The sequence below is a fragment of the Homo sapiens genome, chromosome 8, assembly GCF_000001405.40.
Source record: "Homo sapiens chromosome 8, GRCh38.p14 Primary Assembly".
In the NCBI taxonomy this organism is placed as follows: Eukaryota; Metazoa; Chordata; class Mammalia; order Primates; family Hominidae; genus Homo; species Homo sapiens.
In genome coordinates, this window is record NC_000008.11 from 28,093,812 (window position 1) to 28,106,291 (window position 12,480).

General features: G+C 41.5%; 1 protein-coding gene across 7 annotated transcripts in view; it reads left to right on the forward strand.

Annotated features, from left to right (window-relative positions):
- Positions 1 to 12,480, forward strand: part of ELP3 (elongator acetyltransferase complex subunit 3) — a 100,922-nt gene that overhangs the window by 3,580 nt on the left and 84,862 nt on the right. For 3 of the 7 annotated variants that reach the window (XM_024447184.2, NM_001284222.2, NM_018091.6), the window contains exons 2-3: positions 3,408 to 3,507; positions 6,017 to 6,155. In XM_024447184.2, the coding sequence (XP_024302952.1) occupies positions 3,431 to 3,507; positions 6,017 to 6,155 (216 nt within the window). In that variant the 5' untranslated portion in view covers positions 3,408 to 3,430. The remainder of the gene's footprint in view (positions 1 to 3,407; positions 3,508 to 6,016; positions 6,156 to 12,480) is intronic. The other 4 variants (NM_001284226.2, NM_001284224.2, NM_001284220.2 and 1 more) reach the window with 2 other exon arrangements.

Genomic DNA, 12,480 nt, shown 5'->3' on the forward strand with positions numbered 1-12,480 from the left:
TGACCAGCTGGTCTAATCATGGTAATTGTTGTCAGAATAATAGCTACCATTTATTGAGCTTGTATTTTGAAGTCGGTATCATTTCCATTTTACAGATGAAGAAGCTGAGATTCAAAGAGTTAAGTAACTTTCCCAGACCAAAATTATACTTAGATATGGAGCTGGCTGGTCAGGCTGTATCTGTGACCTCAAAAAACATAAAATGAAAAATAAATACATCGTTAATCCCTATGCTTCTTGACATTAACTGTTATTTTTCTTTCTTCCAAGCAACAATTCTAAGTGTCCAAGTTACCTTAGATTAAGTCTTGTCATATTTGCATGCCCTAAATTAATTTGTTATCTCACTCTAACTTGCTCCTTCTCAATCTACCAGGATTCTTTTAGTTTCTTCTGTCACCAAGTCATGTTGATTCTTACTTAGAAATTACTTCTTGATATAGTTTATTCCTCTTCATTCTGGCCGCCAACCTCCTAACCCACCTTCATCACTAACTAATATTTGAATGGTATTTCAGCTTTCATATACATTATTTATTTGAGTCTTAGAATGGTTTTGTGAAATTTGGATGTATTACCCCAATTTTACAGACAAGGAAATGGGCACTCAAAAGTTGTTGATCTTGGCCAGGCGCGGTGGCTCATGCCGGTAATCCCAGCACTTTGGGAGGCCAAGGCGGGTGGATCACTTGAGGTCAGGAATTGGAGACCAGCCTGACCAACGTGGTGAAACCCTGTCTCTACTAAAAACACAAAAATTAGCCGGGCGTGGTGGCAGGTGCCTGTAATCTAATCCCAGCTACTTGGGAGGCTGAGGCTGAGGCTGAGGCAGAGGCGGGAGAATCACTTGAACCTGGGAGGTGGAGGTTGCAGTGAGCCGAGATCGCACCACTGCACTCCAGCCTGGGTGACCGAGCAAGACTCTGTCTCAAAAAGAAAAAGAAAAAGAAAAAAAATTGTCGATCTTTTCCGTTACCACACAGCCAGTAGGCATTGGGACTGGATCCTGTCTTAGATTTTGTGGGTTTTTTAAAACAATGTTGCCTTTCAAGAGCCATTTGAGTAGTATCCATATTATATGTATTCTTTTTCACTTTCTGAATCATTCTTTGTACCGATAATATTCTTACCTTCCTTAAACGTTACTTTCAACTTTTTATTTCCAAAGTTGAGAATATGCAATTCTTCACTGTCTGTTGCATTCCATTTCAATGCCTTTGCCTAGTGGCCAGGGTCCCCTGTAATCTGTTCTTTATTACACCCTGTTAGAAAGCTGGATTTTAGTTAGGCTGTGCTGTTTCACACAAAGATAGGTAATTCCTATGCCTGACATTATTTCTTCTGGATTGCCTTCTGTTTTGCATGTCCAAATCTTGCCCTATCTTTAAAGATCCCTGTGCCATTTCCTTCATGAAGTCTTTTCCTACTCATTTACTCTTCCAGTTCTTGATACACTCAAGAGCTATACAAGTGGTTTCCAAATCTTATCTGTTCTTATCAGCCGATCCCCTTTTACCCTCCAAATAAATTCTTACACAGAACCTCAATATATAAACAGCTGAAAGCAGAGCTGCTGTGGTGGAAATAAAGAGACCTCCTCCTTTTTTTCCTCCATGCCTTATTTTCCTCTTCCCTTCTCCCTTCCTCTGCCATGACCACCACCAGTCCTACCTCTGTTGCATGGCCCCTGAGGCACCTTTGTAGAACTCTGGAAGTGCTGAGTTACATGGTTTGGAAAGCATTTAGCCTTTGAGTATAGATGGACTTTATTTCTCTCAAAAATTGTTGTGTATATGTTAGCCTTGCCTCATTAAATTAGATGCAGTGTGTTACAGTGAAAAAAGCATGGAAGTTGTGGTGAAAAGAGCTGGATTTGAGTCTTGGCTCTGCTGTTTACGATAGCTTGTTAACTTGCCTTAGCCTCATTTTTCACATCTATAAAATGGGATAACAGTACCTACCCTCCGTGTTACTGTAAGGGTTCAAATGAGATAAAGTAAATGTGTGGGCTCCATAATTGCCAGGGCCTTCCATCCACGCTTTCATTATGTTTTAGCTTTCTCTGCAGTGTGAGTCCTCAGCCCCCTGGGCCACGGACCAGTACCGGTTCATGGCCTGTTAGGAGCTGAGCCAGACAGAAGAAGGTGAGCAGCAGGCGAGCAAGTGAAGCTTCATCAGTATTTGCAGCCACTTCCCATCACTCATGTTACTGCCTAAGCTCTGCCTCCTGTCACATCAGCAGTGGCATTAGATTCTCAAAGGAGTCTGAACCCTGTTGTGAACCGTGCATGTGGTGGGTCTAGGTTGTGTGCTCCTTATGAGAATCTAATGCCTGATGATCTGTCACTGTCTCCCATCACCCCCAGATGGGAGTGTCTAGTTGCAGGAAAACAAGCTCAGGGTTCCCACTGATTCTATGGGAACAGAATTCGTTATGGTGAATTGTATAATTATTTCATTACATATAACAATGCAGTAATAAAAATAAAGTGCACAATAAATGTAATGCACTTGAATCATCCTAAAACCACCCTGCTCCCCTGGTCTGTGGAAAAATCATCTTCCATAAAACCAGTTCCTTTTATCAAAAAGGTTGGGAACCACTGCTCTACAGGTGAGAAGCTTGCTTGCTGACAGCTTCCAAGCTGATATCCCACAGCTTTTGTCCCTGGAAAAAGACTGGCATTTTTTACCTTGAAGAAAAGAGCTCAGATTGGCCTGGCTTAGAGATATGCCCATCCTTGAACCAATCCTTGAACTGTGCTTGAGTGGATGGCGTCATACAAGAACCTGTCAGCTTCTGCTGTTGCCTTTGGATGAGACCGAGAGCCCCAGTTGCCAGAAGTTCATGATGGTGGACAGACAATATTTTAGAAATGCATTAAGATTCTTAGGCAGATACCTGGGTTTGAGTTTCAACTTTACTCCTTGATAGCATCTTCATGTAACAGGCACATATTCTTGTTCTGTCTACCTCTGTTCTGAGAATTACCTGAATTCATGCATCTAAATGTTCTTTATGAACTCTAAAGTATTATGCACATATTAGTAATTACACCTCTGGAGATAAAGGGAAGAGAATTACTTTGGTCCTTTCCTGTGTGATTAAGTTCTTTCTCCTCACATTGTTTCTACTCCTGTATCCTTTCCTGTATTTATTTTTAATAATCTCATAGAGTATGTGCTTCTAAAGGGAGCTTTTCCCATATATATGTAAAGCCACGTTTGTTTTAAAGATACAAAAGATATGATCAAATTGTAAACAGTAGAGATTTAGCATCTTCTGAACTTGAGCTATTCATTTGGCATATTTGTATGGTTTCGGATGGAAAACTGCTACTAAATCAGATTTTAAAATCTTGATTGAATGATACGATTTTTGACATTGTTGAATATTAACTTTCCAGGAGATCTCAGCCCTGCTGAGCTGATGATGCTGACTATAGGAGATGTTATTAAACAACTGATTGAAGCCCACGAGCAGGGGAAAGACATCGATCTAAATAAGTAAGTGGATATAAAGAGAGAGCAAGCTTGTTCTTAGGTAGCAGATCTCTTTTATGAAATTATCTAGTACTACTTGTTTTCCAGCTCAAGTTTTATTTTAGTTGAGAATTTTAGCTTTCTGCCTTGCCTTGTCATTCATTTCTTTTTTTTTTTTTGCAAGTTCCGCCTCTGGGGTTAACGCCATTCTCCTGCCTCAGCCTCCTGAGTAGCTGGGACTACAGGCGCCCGCCACCACGCCTGGCTAATTTTTTGTATTTTTAGTAGAGACGGGGTTTCACCGTGTTAGCCAGGACGGTCTCGATCTCCTGACCTCGTGATCTGCCCACCTCGGCCTCCCAAAGTGCTGGGATTACAGGCGTGAGTCACCGCACCCGGCCGTCATTCATTTCTTGATGGCAAAATTGTCTCAGCTTAAGAATACTAATAGCTTCTAACATTTATTGGGCACTTACTGTATTCCAGACACTGTTGCTAATGCATTGTATGTATTAGCTCAGTTAATCCCCTCAAAATTCTGTGAGATAGGTACTGATACCAGCCACACTTGACAGGTGGGTAATCTGAGTCAGAGAGCAGTTAAATAATTTGTCCAGGGGTAAGTAACTAGTAATTGGCAGAGCTGGGATTTGGAATTAGGTCAGCCGTCTCCAGAGCCCATGTTCTTCTGTGCTGCATCGCTGCACATCCTACTTTCCTTCCCTACTGTCTCAGCTGAAGCAGCAGCTTTCTGTCAGGAAAACCCTCCCTTTGGGGCCCCTGATCTAATCCAACCCTCCCCTGCTGTAGAACCTCTTTGACACATTCATCCACTTCCTCTCCATAATCATTTTCAGCTTGGACTTTCCTACAGTCTCAAATAAGAGTTGTCTTTCATCTCTGCATCTATTTTTTTTTTCAAACTATAATATATATTCACTCTATGTAGATCTTCCCTAATGAAAGGGTTCTCTCCCCAACCCCAGGTCGTCTAATCATCACATACAGGAATGACCTTTTCTTAGACTCTCTTCTCTGATACTTGAGATGCTGCAATATTTTACCCCTTCCTTGAATCCTCATGCTTAGTAAATATTTGCTACAGGAATAAGTAAATATCCTCTTTTGACTATAAAGTTATTGTATTTTACTGATTTTTCTACCGTGTCTTTAGAAGTTTTTCTTTCTTTTTTTGTTGGTTATACCCCTGATTATACAAATCTTTAATTTCTAGTGAACATTTCTACATCTTATATATATTTGTTGTTCTCTTTAATTTAGCACATCTAAAGCTAAAGCTGCCATCGTCCTTAAAACTCGCCCCTCCTCAGATGTCACCAGCCTATTACTGGAAGGTCTCTCAGTCTGGCTTCAACCTGCTTTTCCAAGTTTTTAAACCTCTGTACCTTTACATTGAAAATCTTCTGCTTTCTGTCAAGTTGGTCTGCTTGTATTTCTTAAAATATATGCATTCCTGTTTTTGCATCTGCACATAAATCAGCCTGTCTGCCCTCCATGTCATCTTTGTGTCTTTAGTGACTGAGACCTACTCTTTCTTCTGTGCTCATTTCCATGAATATCTCCCCAGCACACATCAGATTCCTCCCTGAACTCTGGAAGCATTCATTGTTGGTATGTGTGTGTGTTTTATGACATATGTTTTAATCATTTATACATTAATTTTCTTGGTACGCCTGTCTGCAAACATGTAAACATAGAACATGAAAGGACTGTGCCTTGCACATTTGAACATAGCAGGTATTCAGGCAGCCTCTTGTACGTGTTAGGTCCTCAGTTAATATTTGTTGACAAATATGTGAGCACTTCACAGATATTTCTAGATGGATTAAAGTTAGAAGACAGGGTGACTGTTAAGAGTTTGGCTAGGAGGCACAAAGAAAAGCTGGTAAAAGTTTTTTTTAAACTTTCAAAAATATGTACTTTATTTCCTATTTGGTTCTGCATAGCCATCCTTGATTTTTTTTTTAATTGTTGTTGTTGTTTTGTCTAAGACAGTAGTTGTCAACCAGGGGTGATTTCCTCCTCAGGACATTTGGCAATGTCTAGGGACATTTTTGAGTGTTACAACAGGAAGACAAGAAGAAGGCTGGTAGTACATAGAGACCAAGGATGCTGCTAAACATCCCTCAATTCGCTGGCCACCTGCCACAGCAAAGAACTGTGTGGTCCCAAACATCAGTAGTGCTGAGGTTGAGAAAGGTGGAGTCAGAATAGTCCTTTGAAGCTGCAGCACTATTCTGAACTAGATCTATATTGTGTCATCGTCCAGGGACCCTTCTCCCTCCATAGTCCTCTGGTTTTCTTTCTGGTACTCAAGGGTGGGAAGTAGTCATTCACTCGTGAATTTTATTCTTCTATTTCCCTGATAGTCACAGATCTTAAAACTATCCTTGTCACGTGGTGAAGGGATTGGAGAGTGACAGTTGTTAATGATGTTGTTTATAGATCATCCTCTTGGTAGCTTGTCCTTAAATAACCGTAATCTTGATAATGTGAGATGCTTTACTTTCAGGGTGAAAACCAAGACAGCTGCCAAATATGGCCTTTCTGCCCAGCCCCGCCTGGTGGATATCATTGCTGCCGTCCCTCCTCAGTATCGCAAGGTCTTGATGCCCAAGTTAAAGGCGAAACCCATCAGAACTGCTAGTGGGGTGAGTGATTCGACTCATGAGGTATCGACACACTGGGTATCTGTTCTGGCAGAAGTCCCTGCTCCATGTGACGCCCGTGTAGTGAGGTAGAGGTTGGGGATTCTGAACTAATGAAGTCCCTGTATTAGGATATGTGCTGGAGTGGAGACCTGTGCTGAATGCAAGGAGAGCAGAGAGAGAAAAAAATATAATTGTGATTAAAGGAGTAGATGATGTTTTGACCTCTTTAAAAATATAGATTTAGGCTTGGTGACAATCATAACAGGATAAATGTTGGCCATCTTAAGCTGGTAGCTTTCAATATAATTGATGCTTATGAAAGGTACTTTTGAAAGGTAGTTAATGGTGCAAAGTAGTTCTGTATATGGTGATTATGAGCACTGTGGAAGTCCAGACAACAGCGATGTCCCTGCAGCAAAAGGGGCTGGGGAAGGCCCAGTAGAAAGCACACAGCTTGCTTGACCCATAAGCCAAGAAGAGCAGGCTCTAAGTGTCATGGGAGCAAGGACACAGGGGCTAAGGCACAGAGGTAGAAATGACAGGAAGGGCGTGGTGCACGCAGGAAATAGCGAGTACGCCAGACTGAAGGGTGTTAACAGTTCAGGAGAGTAGGACTGTGCGTTGAACAGGTAGTTTGGGATCAGCTTGTAAAAATCTTAAGTGTCTGGCAAAGCAGCTAGATAATAGGAAACAAAAGTTTTGAAAAAGGTAGTAATATGAACAAAGTAGATTTTCAGAAAATTAATTTGGATACAACATGCAGGGTAGTTTGGAGACAAAAAGACTAGCTTAGATGCTCTTGGTATGATGTCAGTATGCAGTGTTAAGGACTTGAGTTAGGATGGAGACTCTAGGATGAAAAAAGATGAGTGTGAGATACATGCACAGAAATTGATAGAATTAAGACCCTCCTACCATATGGTCCCCAGCACCAAATTCTGTTCCTAATGTGATCCCACAAGTTCATTCTGTTATTTGAATTGGGATATTATATTCCAGGCAGCTTGTGTTGACTTGGTGACCATATCTCCTGGATCACCTTACGTTTGTGGCTAATTAAACCCTAAAATTTTTACATACAATGTACCACCAAACCTCATATCCTCTTCTTTGTACTTAAGTGTTTTTGTTTTGTTTTGTTTGTTTGTATCTAGTGTAAAAAGCTTGTTAGCCAGGCACGGTGGCTCACGCCTGTAATCCCAGCACTTTGGGAGGCCGAGGTGGGCCGATCACAAGGTCAGGTCAAGACCATCCTGGCTAACACGACGAAAGCCCATCTCTACTAAAAATACAAAAAAAAAAAATTAGCCGGGCGTTGTGGCGGGGGCCTGTAGTCCCAGCTACTCCAGAGGCTGAGGCAGGAGAATGGTGTGAACCCGGGAGGTGGAGCTTGCAGTGAGCTGAGATCATGCCACTGCACTCCAGCCTGGGCGAAAAAGCGAGACTCCATCTCAAAACAAAAAACAAAAAAACTTGTTAAGAAAAACTAATAGTCCATGCCCCTCACCTCCCTTTTTCTACCCTAGGGCAACCATTTTTAACTCTTAGCCAATTTCTTTAGCATTAACTTCCATATCCATAAATAAAATAACATTCTTTACATAATAGATAAGTCTTGACTTTCTTTTTTTTTTTTTTTACCTGAGACAGTCTTGTTCTGTTGCCCAGGCAGGAGTACAGTGGTACGATCTTGGCTCACTGCAACTTCTGCCTCCCAGGTTCAAGCGATTCTTGTGCCTCAGCCTCCCAAGGAGCTGGGATTACAGGCATGTGCCACAATGCCCAGCTAATTTTTGTATTTTCAGTAGAGACAGGGTTTCACTATGTTGGCCAGGCTGGTCTCGAACTCTTGACCTGAGGTGATCTGCCCGCCTCAGCCTCCCAAAGTGCTGGGATTACAGACGTGAGCCACTGTGCCTGGCCGACTTTTTAGAGTTAAGCATTATGTGTGGGCTTGCCATTAAAGAAGACAGAAACTTAGCAACCTTTCAGCCTGACTGGCAAACCGAGGCTTCTGTGATACCACCCTCTCTGTTTCTTCCTCTGTCTCTGATCATTTCTGTCCTATCTTGGCTACCTTATTGTGCTTACCTCTAAAAGTTGATGTTTTCTGTTGTCCTGGGCTCATTGTGTTTGGTATTTTACATGCTTTCTTTGGTAACCTCATCCATTTGATGATTTTAGTATTGATGTATGCTGACTCCCAGCATGAACCATTCCCTGAGCTTCAGACTCCTGTCAGATTGTCAGTTAGGCATCTGTCCTTTGACTGCCTGAGAACCTCCTGAAGTATAGCATAACCAAAACTAATACCAGACTTGCTTATTCACCTTTCCTGTCCATGTTAGTTCATGGTACCACCGTGCACTCAGTTTCCAAAAAATGTGAAATGCATTTTCCGTTCCTACTGCCACTGGTAAGAATGCTTTGGCCTTTATTATTTCTTGTTTAGATTATTTCAGTCATTTCCTTACGCATCTATTTTGTCCTACCTACATGAAATGCATCTTTAACAGTGTCACAAGAGTGATCTATTGAAAGTATCAGAAACACACAGCTGGTGGCCATTCCCTATCTACTGCCATTCTCACCTCCATGCTTTTATTCTTGCTGTTTTTCTGATGGTGCTTTGTTTATTTTATACAGTAGTTTTAGGTTTATAGAGAAAAAAAATTTATACACTTCCTCTAGCACCTTCACCCCTACCCCAGTTTCCCTATTATTAATATCTTGCATTGTTTGGTACATTTGTTAGAATTGATGAACCAATATTGTTGCATTATTATTAACCAAAGCCTGTACATACATTAGAATACACTCTGTGTTCTACATTCTGTAGGTTTTGCCAATGCATAATGTCATGTATCCACTATTACTGTGTCATATGAAATAGTTTCACTACCCTAAAATCTCCTATTTGTGGCCGGGCGCAGTGGCTTATGCCTGTAATCCTAGCACTTTGGGAGGCTGAGGCAGGCAGATCAGCTGAAGCCAGGAGTTTGAGACCAGCCTGGCCAACATGGTGAAACCCTGTCTCTACTAAAAATACAAAAATTAGCCGGGCATGGTGGCGGGCGCCTGTAATCCCAGCTACTTGGGAGGCTGAGGCAGGAGAATAGTTTGAACCCAGGAGGCAGAGGTTGCGTTGAGCCGAGATAATGCCATTGCACTCCAGCCTGGGTGACAGAGCGAGATTCTGTCTCAAAAAAACAAACAAACAAACAAACAAACAAAAACAGCTCCTATTTGTCCCTTTCCCTCTGCATGTTCTAGACGTAACCTGACTTCCACTGATTGTTTTATTGTCTTTAATAAAGTTTGCTTTTTCCAGAGTGTCATGTACAGTAATTGGAATCATACAGCCTTTCCACTTAGCAATATGCATTGAAGTCTGCCATGTCTTTTTGTGACTTGGTAGCTCATTCTTTTTTTTTAATTACTGAATGATAATCCATTGTACGGATGTACCACTATTTGCTTATTCATTCACCTATTGAAGGACATCTTGGTTGCTTCCAATTTTTGGCAGTTTTAAACAAAGCTCTGTGAAGGTTATTGTGTCCACCTACATTTTCAGCTTACTTGAGTAACTGTCAACAAGTGCAACTGGTAGATCATATAGTAAGACTATGTTTCACTTTGTAAAAAACTGCAAACTCTTCCAGCATGGCTGCACCATTTTGCATTCCCACCAGCAGTGAGTGAGCACTCTGATGTTCCACATCCTTGCTAACACTTGGAGATGTCGGTGTTTTGGATTTTATTTAATTAATTTATTTATTTTAAGACAGGGTTTTGTCCTGTCACTGAGGCTAGAGTGTGGTGGCATGATCACAGCTCACTGCAGCAACCTCCCAGGTTCAAGCTATCCTCCCACCTCAGCCTCCCAAGTAACTGGGACAACAGGCATGCACCACCACACCAGCTAATTTTTGTGTTTTTTGTAGAGACAGGGTTTCACCATGTTACCTAGGATGGTCTTGAGCTCCTAGGCTCAAGGGATCCTCCCAGCTTGGTCTCCCAAAGTGCTGTGATTATAGGCGTGAGCTATGGTGCCCAGCCAGTGTTTTGGATTTTAGCCATTCTCATAGTTGAACAGTGGTATCTCCTTGTTGTTTAGTTTGTAATTCCCTAATGACATGATGTTGAGCATCTTTCCGTATACTTATTTGCCACTGTATATCTTCTTTATTGAGATATCTAGTCACATCTTTTGCCCTGTTCTTAATTGGGTGTTTTCTTACTAGGTTTTAAGAGTTCTTTGTATATCTTAGCTGGAAGTGGTTTATCAGGTACCAATTATGCAGATATTTTCTCCTAGTCTGTGGCTTGTCTTTTCATTGTCTTTCTCAGAGCACAACTTTTAAATATAGACAATTAGGTCCATAACCCATTCTGAGTTTGTATTTGAGTTCGTGTTTGTGTTCTTGAAACACCATGGTTGTTAACTTGGATACATTACTGTCATCTAAGCCTCAGACCTCACTTAAGTTTCACCAGCCGTTTCAATAACATCCCACAGAACCTAGTTCAGAATCACCTGTTGCATTTAATTGTCATATATCTTTAGTCTGGACATTTCCTTTGTCTTTTTTGGACTCCGTTATCTTAACGCTTTTGAAGATTTCTGGCAAGTTATTTTGTAGCACGTCCCTCAGTGTGGGTTCATCAGCTGTTTTCTCATCATGAGATTCAGGTTACGCGTCTTTGGCCCGTGCCTCATAGAAGCAGCACTACGTTCTTCTCGTCATCTCCCATCCAGTGGTGCGCAGGTTTGGTTTTCCTATCACTGATGTTCCTCATTTTGATCAAGGTGCTGTCCACCAGACTTACCCTCTGTCAAGTTATTTTTTTCCACTTTGTATTAAGAAGTGTTGTATGGAGAAATACTGAGAAACTAGGTGGATATCCTGTTTCTCATCACGTACCCAGTTCACTCCTTTATTTGTGTGAAGGAATTAATGGTTTCCTATTTGGTGGGTTATCATCTGTTACTATTTATTTTGATGCACAAATTATTGTGGACTTGACCAGTGGGAGCCTTTTCAAGCTGATTTCTATGTCTTTTTAAAATGTCCTCATCATTCTTTGAGCAGTTTCTAGCTTTCTAGCACAATAAAATGTTCCAGGCTTGGCCAGACATGGTGGCTCACGCCTGTAATCCCAGCACTTTGGAAGGACGAGGTGGGTGGATCACCTGAGGTCAGGAGTTTGAGATCAGCCTGGCCAACATGGCAAAACCCTGTCTCTACTAAAAAAAAAAAATACAAAAAATTAGCCAGGCATGGTGGCACATGCCTGTAATCCCAGCTACTTGGGAGGCTGAGGCAGGAGAATTGCTTGAACCCAGGAGGTGGAGGTTGCAGTGAGCCAAGATCACGCCATTGCACTCCAGCCTGGGCAACACAGTGAGACTCCGTCTCAAAAAGGAAAAAAAAGGAAAATGTTCCAGGCTTATCTTAGACTTTCTTTGCTCCAGCCCTGGAATCAGCCATTTCCCCAAGGAGCCCTGGTTTCTTTTAGTTGGAGAAGGATATTTAGATACTAAGACCTGGGTCCTAGGTGTGCTTACTGCTGTTAGGGTGTTGCTGCTGCCAGACTCTCTCAGTGGACCAAGCGAGGACATATATATGTATAGCTGCATACATAACATGCACACATACATGTAACACATTTCCATTTGTATTTATTTATCAGTCTACCATATGTTGAACACTCTGATTGGCCACAATACCTTTAATTCCACCCAGCCCACAGAGTTCATTCTGCTTCTCTCTCTTTCCATGTTTATAGCTACTTCTCTGATAGTAAGAAGCCTGGCTTGCTTTCACTTTTGTAAATGGCCAGATTTGACCAAGTGCCCTGGATGTAACCAATCTTGCGTCTCTGCCACTGCCTCCTGTCGTCACCTCACTGAGGCTCTGTCAGACCCCTCTGAGGTTATTTACACCCAGACCCTGAAACATGAAGCTGCTAGTTTAATAGTACCTGCTGCAAATATTGAGATCCAGTGTGTTCATGAGGCGTTTGAGTCACAAAGGTTAGGTTTATATATAATTTCATAGAATTGCTTAAAGAAATTTTTTTCTTACAGGCTGTTTACTAAGACAATCAGAGAGAGAAAGACTAAGAATCACTTTGGCTTTAACAGTTAATTTGTTATTTTGTACTTAATTTATTGTAAAATGGAATATAACTTCACATATATATTACATACGGACAATTTAAAGATGATTAATATTGAACAGAGATCACTCTTGTACCCATTGCCCAGCTTAAGAAATACAGCCTCGGCCGGGCGCGGTGGCTCACGCCTGTAATCCCA